Source organism: Homo sapiens, chromosome 20 (genome assembly GCF_000001405.40).
Source record: "Homo sapiens chromosome 20, GRCh38.p14 Primary Assembly".
Taxonomy (NCBI): Eukaryota; Metazoa; Chordata; class Mammalia; order Primates; family Hominidae; genus Homo; species Homo sapiens.
In genome coordinates this window covers 37118786-37131804 of record NC_000020.11, presented here as the reverse complement: position 1 = coordinate 37131804, position 13019 = coordinate 37118786, and the positions used below count along the sequence as shown (strand labels likewise).

Here is a 13019-nt window from a genome sequence, read left to right as displayed (position 1 = left end):
AGATGCATTTTCAGCACACTTAAAATGTGTGGCAAACTAAAAGCATTTTGCAACACTTCTCTCACAATAAACAGCTTCTCAAAGTACTTCATTTACTCCCTCAGGAATCCAAAGAAAATAACCGAGGGTAAGTAAATATGAGAATTTCTTTATGTCATCCCAGATGAATGTTCCTATTCTGCCGTCTCATCATTCTGCAGCTGTGAGTTTTTTCAGCATCCTATATTGCCTTTCTGGCCTTTTCTTTAGGAGTTCTTTAGGACCTTCTTACTTTGTTTTATTCACAAATTAGAATCACTGAGGTGAGGAGTGAAATGTTGGGATAGTCTTTAAGCCTCTCAAGTTTTAGGATGAGTCTCACAGTTGAAAGACCACACTTTTTTTCTTTTTTTTCTTTTCTTTTCTTTTTTCCTTTTTTTTCCCCCCGAGACAGTCTCACCCTGCCACCCAGGCTGGAGTGCAGTGGTATGATTTTGGCTCACCTCAGTCTCTGCCTTCTGGGTTCAAATGATCCTCCCACCTCAGCCTCCTGAGTAGCTGGGACTACAGGCACACACCACAACACCTGGCTAATTTTGCATTTTTTGTAGAGACAGGGTTTTGCCATGTTTCCCAGGCTGGTCTTGAACTCCTGGGCTCAAGCAGTCCTCCCATCTCAGCCTTCCAAAGTGCTGGGATTACAGGTGCTGCGATTACAAGCTACTGGGATTGCAGTTGCTGGAATTACAGAGTGTTAGGATTACAAAGTGCTGGGATTACAGGATTATAGGCCACCACGTCTGGCCTGGAAGATCACACTTTAAAAACTTACTCTAGCATACCAAGATGCCTAAATGGATTCTGAAAATAAAAGAATGGATTAAAAGCATGAGTAACTCCCAATTTTCTTCCCACTGTAATGTTCTCCCACAATGTTTATGTAACTCTCAGGCCCTACATTTGAATCAATGACAGAGAAGTTATTACATATTATTTTTCTTTAGAAGATATCTCTTCTAGGCAGGATCAAAGCTTTATTTCAAGGATTAACTTTAGCCAAAATTTGAGGACCACAGACCACATCGAATATATGTGTCTATAATTTAACCTTCTATGAACCTGGCATTGTGCAAGTCCCTGAGGAATTCCTAGAAGAAGAGCCAGAAAGAATCCTTTCCTTCAGAGCGAACAGATACACACATAAAGAACTGATGATAGCACACATAAGATTGAAGTGACCTCTAAGAAGAAGAAACTTTTTAAGTGCTATGAGAACTCTTACGAAAGACATGGTGAAGAAGCAACCAAGGCTTCCTAGGAGACATGACACTGGAGCTGGACCTTGAAGGATTTTGATGGGCAGAGAAGAGTTTTGGAAAGGGCCTTCCAGTTTAAGAAAGTGACATAAGGGTCGGGTACAGTGGCTCATGCCTGTAATCCCAGCACTTTGGAAGGCCGAGGTGGGTAGATCGCTTGAGCCTAGGAGTTCAAGACCAGCCTGGGCAACATGGCGAGACCCCATCTTTACAAAAACAAATTTAAAAATTAGCCAGGTGTGGTGGCACATGCTTGTGGTCCCAGCTATTCGGGTGGCTGAGGCAGGAGGATTGCTTGAGCTCAGGAGTTCAAGGCTGCAGTGAGCTGTGTATGGCACCACTGCACTCCAGCCTGGGTGACGGAGTGAGACCCTGTCTAAAAAAAAAGGACAGTGACATAAGCAAAGGTATAGGGTTTTCAAAGTCTGTGTTTTCTTAGGTAAAGGTGAATGGTCTGAATGGTCTGGATGGTTTGAGCACAGAGTGTGTGATGGGGAAGAGATGAGGCCAAAAAGTTAAGTCAGGACCAGGTTATGAATAGCCTTGAAGTCCACGCTGAGGCAATGGGAACTTGATTCGATAAAACCTGGGGACTTCAGGGGTGGGGGGCAAGGGGAGGGAGACCAATAGGACAAATACCTAATGCGTGTGGGCTTAAAACCTAGATGACGGGTTGAGAGGTGCAACAAACCACCATGGCACATGGATACCTATGTAACAAACCTGCACATTCTGCACATGTATCCTGGAACTTAAAGTAAAATTTTAAAAATCGGCTGGGTGCAGTGGCTCACGCCTGTAATCCCAGCACTTTGGGAGGCCAGGGCGGGCAGATCACTTGAGGTCGGGAGTTCGAGACCAGCCTGGCTAACATGGCGACACCCTGGCTCTACTAAAAATACAAAAATTAGCCGGGCGTGGTGGCGGGCACCTGTAATCCCAGCTACTCAGGAGACTGAAGCAAGGGAATTGATTGAACCCAGGAGACAGAGGTTGCAATGAGCCAAGATCACGCCACTGACTCCAGCCTGAGTGACAGAGCAAGACACCGTGTCAAAATAATAATAATAATAATAAAATTTAAAAAATAAATAAGTAAATAAAAGAAAATATGGAGCAATAGGAATCCTACTCTGCTTGTTGGCAAATAAATGGATACAACCACCTTTTTTTTTTTTTTTTGAGACAGGGTCTCACAAAAAGGAAAAAAATAAACCTGGGGAGTTACTGTTATGAAATCAAAGTCAGTCTTTTGACACCCTGAAGAGCTGAGTAGAGAGGAGAACCTCTTGTAGATTGCATTGGAATCAGCCATTCTCCTCTTGCTCTTTGGGATTTCCAGGCACCTGGCTGAGGTGTGGAGAATGCTGTCGGTGGAGCTTCCCAGCACGACCTGGATTCTGTGGAGGCTCCTGAGGAAGCTGCAGAAATGCCATAATGAGCCTGCACAGGAGAAGATGGCATATGTGGCTGTGGCTGTAAGCCCTTGAGCTTTGCCCCTCTAATGTCAGCCCCTCCCAGGATGACTGACCCCACACCCCAGTGGAGAGTGTTCCTTTTGGTCCCTCTCAAAGCCTGCATCTGTCATCCATTTATAAGTCTACAGTGTTTCTGCCAAGGGATTGACATGGAGGGAGCTGGGGAGAGTGAAGGAGTCAGAATGCCTTAATACAAACTCGTCCAACCTGCCTTTTTTTGTTTTTGTTGTTCTGTTCTGTTTTGTTTTAGGCTTTTAGAAGCCTGAAGCCATGGTATTTAGTTTCTGTCTCTAGTGATAAGCGGAAAAGAGGTATGAGGAAGGGGCTTTATTGACCCAACCAGAAACAGAAACTAAGAACCCATGACTGTCATCTGTCCCTTGGAAACATCCCTGGTTTAATATGTTTAAAACATTCCTTCCCTCATCCTCTAAAAAATATGTATCATCATAGTTAAAGAGAAATGCAAACTTGTGGGAAAAAAACCTCAAATATCGTAGAACTGTATAAAACAAAGTGCAGACTAGACGCGGTGGCTCACGCCTGTAATCCCAGCACTTTGGGAGGCCAAGGTGGGTAGATCACCTGAGGTCAGGAGTTCAAGACCAGCCTGGCCAATATGGTGAAACCCCATCTCTAGTAAAATACAAAAATTAGCCAGGTGTAGTGGCGCCCACCTGTAATCCCAGCTACTCAAGAGGCTGAGGCAGGAGACTTGCTTGAACCCGGGAGGCAGAGGTTGCAGTGAGCCGAGATCACGCTACTGCACTCCAGCCTGGGCAACAGAGTGAGACTCCATCTCAAAAAAAAAAAAAAAAAAAAAGGCCAGGCACAGTGGCTCTTGCCTGTAATTCCAGCACTCTGGGAGGCCGAGGCGAGCCAATCACTTGAGGTCAGGAGTTTGAGACCAGCCTGGCCAACATGATGCAACCCCGTCTCTACTTAAAATACAAAAATTAGCCAGGCATGGTGGCGGCCGCCTGTAATCCCAGCTACTCAGGAGGCTAAGGCAGGAGAATTACTTAAACCAGGGAGGCAGAGGTTGCAGTGAGCCGAGATCACGCCACTGCACTCCAGCCTGGGTGACAGAGAGAGTCTCAAAAAAAAAAAAAAAAGAAAGTGCAGATCTCCCTGAGCAGAAGTTGGCCAACTTTCTATAAGAGACCAGATGGTAAATATATAGTCTCTGTCACATATTCTTTGGATTTCTTTTAAACAATCTTTGGATTTTGGATTTTTTAAAACAATCCTTTTATTAAAAAATGTAAAAACCATTCTTAGCTCATGTCTGTAACAATCTCCCTAAAAATGAATTTTCCAGAAGTCTTTATACATATATAAACTTTTGGTATATCTATTTGGTATACTTTTTTCATTTTTTCCTTTTAAATACTTTATTTTTTAGAGCAGTTTTAAGTTCACAGAAAAATTCAGCAGAAAGTACAGCGTTCCCATAAACCTGCCTCCACACACACACAGCCTGCCCTACTATCAACATTTACTTTTTACTTTATTTTCTCCCCTACCAGTTTATGGTTCAGCTTTCTGTGGTCTAAATTATTGTTATTTTTCTTTTTTCTTTTTTTATTTTTTTATTTTATTTTTTTTTTGAGACAAAGTTTCGCTCTGTCGCCCAGGCTGGAGTGCAGTGGCGCGATCTCGACTCACTGCAAGCTCCGCCTCCCGGGTTCACGCCATTCTCCTGCCTCAGCCTCCCGTGTAGCTGGGACTACAGGCGCGCGCCACCATGCCCGGCTAATTTTTGTATTTTTAGTAGAGACGGGGTTTCACCGTGTTAGCCAGGATGGTCTCGATCTCCTGACCTCGTGATCCGCCCGTCTCGGCCTCCCAAAGTGCTGGGATTACAGGCGTGAGCCACCGCGCCCGGCCTTTTATTTTTTATTGATCATTCTTGGATGTTTCTCGCAGAGGGGGATTTGGCAGGGTCATAGGACAATAGTGGAGGGAAGGTCAGCAGATTAACAAGTGAACAAAGGTCTCTGGTTTTCCTAGGGAGAGGACCCTGCGGCCTTCCGCAGTGTTTGTGTCCCTGGGTACTTGAGATTAGGGAGTGGTGATGACTCTTAACCAGCATGCTGCCTTCAGGATCTGTTTAACAAAGCACATCTTGCACCGCCCTTAATCCATTCAACCCTGAGTGGACTAAGCACATGTTTCAGAGAGCACAGGGTTGGGGGTAAGGTCACAGATCAACAGGATCCCAAGGCAGAAGAATTTTTCTTAGTACAGAACAAAATGAAAAGTCTCCCATGTCTACTTCTTTCTACACAGACACGGCAACCATCCGATTTCTCAATCTTTTCCCCACCTTTCCCCCCTTTCTATTCCACAAAACCGCCATTGTCATCCTGGCCCGTTCTCAATGAGCTGTTGGGTACACCTCCCAGACGGGGTGGTGGCCGGGCAGAGGGGCTCCTCACTTCCCAGTAGGGGTGGCCACCTCCCGGACGGGGCAGCTGGCCGGGCAGGGGGCTGACCACCCTCCTCCCTCCTGGAGGGGGCGGCTGGCCGGGCAGAGGGGCTCCTCACTTCCCAGTAGGGGCGGCCGGGCAGAGGCGCCCCTCACCTCCCAGACGGGGCGGCTGGCCGGGCGGGGGGCCGACCCCCCGACCTCCCTCCCGGACGGGGCGGCTGGCCGGGCGGGGGGCCGACCCCCCCACCTCCCTCCCGGACGGGGCGGCTGGCCGGCGGGGGGCTGACCCCCCCACCTCCCTCCCGGACGGGGCGGCTGGCCGGGCGGGGGGCTGACCCCCCCACCTCCCTCCCAGACGGGGCAGCTGGCCGGGCAGAGGGGCTCCTCACTTCCCAGTAGGGGCGGCTGGGCAGAGGCGCCCCTCACCTCCCGGACGGGGCGGTTGGCCGGGCGTGGGGCTGACCCCCCCACCTCCCTCCCGGACGGGGTGGCTGCCGGGCGGAGACGCTCCTCACTTCCCAGACGGGGTGGCTGCCTTGCGGAGAGGCTCCTCACTTCTCAGACGGGGCGGCTGCCGGGTGGAGGGGCTCCTCACTTCTCAGACGGGGCGGTTGCCAGGCAGAGGGTCTCCTCACTTCTCAGACGGGGCTGCCGGGCAGAGACGCTCTTCCCCTCCCAGACGGGGTCACGGCCGGGCAGAGGCGCTCCTCACATCCCAGACGGGGCGGCAGGGCAGAGGCGCTCCCCACATCTCAGACGATGGGCGGCCGGGCAGAGACGCTCCTCACTTCCTAGATGTGATGGCAGCCGGGAAGAGGCTCTCCTCACTTCCTAGATGGGATGGCGGCCGGGCGGAGACGCTCCTCACCTTCCAGACTGGGCAGCCAGGCAGAGGGGCTCCTCACATCCCAGACGATGGGCGGCCAGGCAGAGACGCTCCTCACTTCCCAGACGGGGTGGCGGCCGGGCAGAGGCTGCAATCTCGGCACTTTGGGAGGCCAAGGCAGGCGGCTGGGAGGTGGAGGTTGTAGCGAGCCGAGATCACGCCACTGCACTCCAGCCTGGGCACCATTGAGCACTGAGTGAACGAGACTCCATCTGCAATCCCGGCACCTCGGGAGGCCGAGGCTGGCGGACCACTCGCGGTTAGGAGCTGGAGACCGGCCCGGCCAACACAGCGAAACCCCGTCTCCACCAAAAAAATACGAAAACCAGTCAGGCGTGGCGGCGCATGCCTGCAATCGCAGGCACTCGGCAGGCTGAGGCAGGAGAACCAGGCAGGGAGGTTGCAGTGAGCCGAGATGGCAGCAGTACAGTCCAGCTTCGGCTCGGCATCAGAGGGAGACCGTGGAAAGAGGGAGAGGGGAGACCGTGGAAAGGGGAGGGGGAGAGGGAAGGGGAGAAGGAGAGGGAGAGGGAGAGCGAGAGGCTGTTATTTTTCTTTTTGAGACAGAGTCCCACTCTGTTGCCCAGGCTGGACTGCAGTGGCATGATCTCAGCTCACTGCAACCTCTTCCTCCTGGGCTGAAGCGATCCTCCCACATCAGCCTCCTGAGTAGCTGGGAATACAGGAGAGTGCCACCATGCCTGGCTAATTTTTGTATTTTTTAGTAGAGACGGGGATTCCCCATGTTGCCCAGTCTGGTCTCAAACTCCTGGGCTCAAACAATCCTCCCGCCTTAGCCTCCCAAAATGCTGATTACGGACGTGAGCCACCACACCCAGCCTTGTATATGTTTTTAATTGGCCGTTTGTATTTCTTTTATGACTTGTTTGTTCATGCCCTGTACACTAGTCCTTCTCAGATTTAATATGCACACAAACCACAATCACTTTGGGATATTATTAAAATGCAGGTTCTCAGCTGGGCGCAGTGGCTCACACCTGTAATCCCAGCACTTTGGGAGGCCGAGGCGGGTGGATCACGAGGTCAGGAGATCGAGACCATCTTGGCTAACATGGTGAAACACCGTCTCTACTAAAAATATGAAAAATTAGCCGGGCGTGGTGGCGGGCACCTGTAGTCCCAGCTACTCGAGAGGCTAAGGCGGTAGAATGGCGTGAACCCGGGAGGCAGAGCTTGCGGTGAGCAGAGATCTCACCACTGCACTCCAGCCTGGGTGACAGAGCGAGACTCTGTCTCAAAAACAAAAAATAAAAAATAATAATAAAATACAGGTTCTGATATGGAAGGCCTGGGATGGGGCTTGAAATTCTCCCTGTTTAACCAGCTCCCAGGTGATGACAATGCTACTGGTGTGTGGCCTACCCTTTGAGTAATTTTTTTACTGCTACGTAAGAGCATTTTATATAGTAAGAACAATATATTGATACAAATACTTCTCCAGGTTGTTGCCATCTAACTCTTTTTTTTTGAGACAGAGTCTCGCTCTGTCACTCAAGCTGGAGTGCAATGGCACGATCTCGGCTCACTGCAACCTCCACCTCTAAGGTTCAAGCGATTCTCCTGCCTCTGCCTCCCGAGTAGCTGGGATTACAGGCATGAGCCACCACACCTGGCTAATTTTTTTGTATTTTTAGTAGAGATGGGGTTTCACTCTGTTGACCAAGCTGGTCTCAAACTCCTGACCTAAGGTGATCCACCCGCCTTGGCCTCCCAAAGTGCTGGGATTGCAGACATGAGCCACTGCACCTGGCCTGTTGTCATCTAACTTTATGATAAATGTTGCCCTGGCTTTATATTTGTATGTAGTCAAATATGTTAATAGTTTCCTTCATGACTTCCGTATTTCAAAATGGCAGGTGCTTAGTTCCTCTCTGTGTCTTTTCCACCACAGGCAACAGATGCCCTTTATGAGGTGTTTTTGGGAAACAGGCTTCGAGCAGCTACGTTCCGACTCTTTCCTCAGCTTCTCATGACACTGCTTATCCAGATTCATCACAGCATCGGCCTCACCATGTCTGATGTCGACATCCCAAGTGGCCTGTACACAGAACAGGAAGTGCCTTCAGAGGTCACCCCTTTGTGGTACTGCCCATCATTATTTCATTGACATTAAGTAACACGTACTAAGCACTGGGCACTGTGGTGAACACAGGGATAGCCAAGATGTAGTCCCAACTGAAGGGGAGCTTACAACCTTCAACCCTCATGAGCCATCAAGATGAAATGCCCAGGAATCATTCTGAGCTTTCATTGGCTATCTTTGGTTTTATTAGTAACAAGGTAAATTTGGCTATCTGGGTTATATCTGGGTTAGCCAAATGTGATATTGTGTTAGCCCTTTCCTAATAAATCAAGTACAGACAGAAACAAAACAGCCTAAACCTACCTCCAAAACTGTACTGATCCACCATGCAGTGATTTCTGCTTTCTGTTTTATTGCATGGAGAGATATTTTTAAGTCCCATTAGAGTCTCAGTAGAAATTTCTTAGTGTTGTTGGTTGGGCATGGTGGCTCATGCCTGTAATCCCAGCACTTTGGGAGGCTGAGACAGGTGGATCACCTGAGGTCAAGAGTTTGAGACCAGCCTGGCCAACATGTGAAACCCTGTCTCTACTAAAAATACAAAAATTAGCTGGGCGTGGTGGCACATGCCTATAATTCCAGCTACTCAGGAGGCTGAGGCACGAGAATCACTTGAGCCCGGGAGGCAGAGATTGCAGTGAGCCGAGATCGTGCCGTTGCACTCCAGCCTGGGCAACAGAGCAAGACTCTGTCTCAAAAAGTAATAATAATAATAAAGACGTTTCTTAGTGTTGCTATGGCACATGGATTTCTTTCAGAGAAAGTACTATAATGTGACATATTTAAGAACACCAGACTAAGTCAGTAGACCTGAGTTCTAGTGCAGTTCTCATTCATCCATTCAACTAGTTCTATACCCTGGGCAAATCTATTGTTCTGTGCCTCAGTTTCCTTATCTATAAATGGAAAGGTCAGGCAAGGTGATCTCAAAGGACCATTCCAGCTTTATTATTTTGTTTTATTTTTTGAGACAGGGTCTCCATCTGTCACCCAGGCTGGAGTGCAGTGGCATGATCATGGCTCACTGCAGCCTCAACATCCTGGGCTCACGTGATCCTCCCACCTCAGCCTCCTGCGTAGCTGAACCACAGTTGCCTGCCACCATGCCCAGCTAATTATTTTTATTTTTTGTAGAGAAGGGGTCTCACTGTGTTGCTCAGGCTCCTTCCAGCTTTAAGATTCTCTGATGCTAGGTCCGGGATAACAGTTCAGTAAGTAGCTTTTAAAGGCAGTGGACGGCCAGGCACAATGGCTCATTCCTGTAATCCCAGCACTTTGGGAGGCCAAGGCAGGAGGATCATTTGAAGCTAGGAGTTTAAGAACAGCTTAGGCAATAGGGCAAGAGCCTGTCTCTACAAAAAATTTTTAGGCTGGGTGCAGTGGCCCACATGTGTAATGCCAACACTTTCGGAGGCCGAGGCAGGAGGACTACTTGAGCTCAGGAGTTCAACACCAGCCTGGGCAACGTGGTGAAACCCTGTCTCTATAAAAATTAGCCAGGTGTGTTGGAACACACTTGTGGTCCCAACTACTCGGGAGGCTGAGGTGGGAAGATTGCTTGAGCTTAGGAGATTGAGACTGCAGTGAGCAGAAATCGCGCCACCGCACTCCAGCCTGGGAGACAGAGCCAGACCCTGTCTCAGAAAAAAATTTTTTTTTCTTAAATTATTGGAGCCTGATGGCACATGCCTGTAATCCCAGCTGCCCTGGATGCTGAGGCAGGAGGATCACTTGAGCCCAGGAGCTCAAGGCTGCAGTGAGCCATGATGGCACCCTTGCCCTCCAGCTTGGGTGACAAAACAAGATCCTGTCTCAGTAAATAAATAAATAATAAAAACAGTGGAGATAAATAGTGTGGGGTAAATTGTATCTCAGTAAAGCTTTTAAAAAAGCAGTGTGTGTCTGTTTAGCATCCCAGATCATTTCTTTTATCATAGATTTCCTTCTAAACTCCTGGGGAAATGAGACCTAGTTAGATTTCTTTATGCTGAGATCTTGTGTAAAGGGCCTTACAAGTTATTAGAGCATTAAGACTCTTCTGGTCTCACTACTGCACTTGACTAGTCTTGAAAGTAGGCCGGGCACGGTAGCTCATGCCTGTAATTCCAACACTTTGGGAGGCCGAGACAGGCATATCATCTGAGGTCAGGAGTTTGAGACCAGCCTGACCAACATGGTGAAACCCAGTCTCTACTAAAAATAGAAAAATTAGCCAGGTGTGGTGGCGTGCACCTGTAATCCCAGCTACTCAGGAGGCTGAGGCAGGAGAATCGCTTGAACCAGGGAGGCAGAGGTTGCAGCAAGCCACGATCTCACCACTGCACTCTGGCCTGGGCAACAGAGCAAGCCTCCGTCTCAAAAAAAAAAAAAAAAAAAAAAAAGGAAGAAAGAAAAAGAAGAAGAAGAAAGTAAAAGAAAAAAGAGAAGAGTCTTTTGGGCAATTTGGAAAGCAGAGAATTACAGTCCAGCAGTTGTCAATGCATGACCCTCCTCACTGAGAATGGGATGACTGTGTGCTGGTAAGTTGGAGGGACCTGTTCAAATCACCCACACTGTTTTCGTTTGATTTAGCTTTGCCATGCAGGCTACAAAGACTCTCCTCCTCAGAACATGCTGCTTGCAGGAATTCAACATCATGGAAAAGAATAAAGGATGGGCTCTCCTGGGAGGAAAAGATGGCCATCTTCAGGGACTATTTCTCCTTGCCAAGTAAGGCTTCCTTGTCATGCATACACCCACCTGTTCTAAATCGGCATTGTTTTGAGTATTTATTTCCCTTCTAGTTATCACAGCAACTAAGGTTGAATAACCTCCTTATAAGAGGGTGGGCAAATATCCATAATGCTAGGCAAATTTTTCAGAGGTCCTGGCCCTACCGTATACTATCCTGTAGCTGGGCAAGAACTTCTAGAGGGTCCCCAGCCCTGAGACAATGCCCTCTGGATGGGAGCATTCCTGAGAGTCATTCTGTTGGTGTTGTGTTTTGCAGCGCATTGCTGGAAAGAAATCAGCTCCTTGCACAGAAGGTCATGTACTTATTAGTCCCTCTTCTTAACCGAGGGAATGATAAACATAAACTCACATCTGCAGGCTTTTTTGTGGAGGTAAGACTCATTGTTTAGAAGCTGGATTCAGGAAGCCTATGAAGCAGCAATCCCTGCCTTCCTAGGCTACATCGAGTTAGTGGCATGTTGGGATCTGTTTCAAGAGTGAGATAGAAATAATTTTCAGATTCAAGGGCAGGCGCGGTGGCTCACGCCTGTAATCCCAGCACTTTGGGAGGTTGAAGCGGGCGGATCACCTGAGTTCAGGAGTTCAAAACTAGCCTGGCCAACATGGTGAAACCCCGTCTCTACTAAAAATACAAAATAATTAGCTGGGCATGGTGGCGGGCACCTGTAATCTCAGCTACTCGGGATGAGGCATGAGAATCGCTTGAACCCGGGAGGCAGAGATTGCAGTGAGCCAAGATCGCACCACTGCACTCCAGCCTGGGCAACAGAGTGAGACTCCATCTCAAAAAAACAAAACAAAACAAACACACAAAAAAGAAAGAATTTTCAGATTCAAGCCTCTCAAAAATCTTCTTTCCACACATGCATAATTCAGTATTCTTTGTGTACCTATAGGGTAAATAAACATCATCCTGTATGTTCTGTAATAGAGATTTAAAAGGAAAATATGTACTTTAGCATTGGTGGGAAGGTAGCTCCCCACATGAAAAAGGGCTTAAAGGTCATTTTTTGGGCTGATCTCTGGGTTCTTTCAGCTTCTCCGGAGTCCAGTGGCCAAGAGACTGCCCAGCATATACTCTGTTGCCCGCTTTAAAGACTGGCTACAAGATGGAAATCATCTCTTTAGAATTCTCGGCCTGAGGGGACTGTACAATCTTGTTGGACACCAGGAGATGGTAGGAGGGGCCCCCAGACCATGGATTCTTTTCTTTTCTTTTCTTTTCTTTTCTTTTCTTTCTCTTTCTTTCTGTCCCTCTCTTTCTTTCTTTCTTTCTCTTCCTTCCTTTCTTTCTTTCCCTTCTTTCTTTCCTTTTTCTTTCTTTCCTTCCTTTCTTCCTTTCCTTCTCTTTCTTTTCTTTTCTCTCCTTCCTTCCTTCTTTCTTTCTTTTTTTTTTTTTCTTTTTTTAAGATAGGGTCTTGCTTTGTGACCCAGGCTGGAGTTCAGTGACACCATCGCTGCGTGCCGCAGCTTCAACCTCCCGGGCTCAAGTGATCCTCTCACCTCAGCCTCCTGAGTAGCGGGGACCACAGGCACATGCCACTATGCCCAGCTGATTTTTAAAATTTTTGTAGAGACAGAGTCTCACTGTGTTGCCAGGGCTGCTCTCGAACTCCTGGTCTCAAGTGATCTGTCCACCTCAGCCTCCCAAAATACTGGGATTACAGGTGTGAGCCACAGCGCCTGGCCCAGATCACTGATTCCTAAGATACCAATTAATCACCCCAAAATAATACCTAAGAAACTGAAAATAGCTGAAGACAATTGGGTAGCCTGGGGACAGGAGTAGGTGGGAGAGGGTCTTTTTTCCTGCACATCCTTTTGTATCATTTAAAGTTTTATGCCTAAGAAATAGGCAAGTACTGACTATTTAAAAATTAATGAAATTGGCCAGGCGTGATGGCTCACGCCTGTAATCACAGCACTTTGGGAGGCCGAGGCGAGTGGATCACGAGGTCAGGAGTTTGAGACCAGCCGGACCAACATGGTGAAACCCCATCTCTACTAAAAATATAAAAATTAGCTGGGCATGATGGCACATGCCTGTAATCCCAGCTACTCAGTAGGCTGAGGCAGGAGAATCGCATGA

General features: G+C 48.2%; 1 protein-coding gene across 3 annotated transcripts in view; it reads left to right on the top strand.

Moving 5' to 3' along the window:
• Window positions 1-13019, top strand: part of MROH8 (maestro heat like repeat family member 8) — a 78382-nt gene that overhangs the window by 47744 nt on the left and 17619 nt on the right. For 2 of the 3 annotated variants that reach the window (NM_213632.3, NM_213631.3), the window contains 1 exon segment: window positions 2638-2984. In NM_213632.3, the coding sequence (NP_998797.2) occupies window positions 2638-2785 (148 nt within the window). In that variant the 3' untranslated portion in view covers window positions 2786-2984. 3 annotated transcript variants of the gene reach the window in all.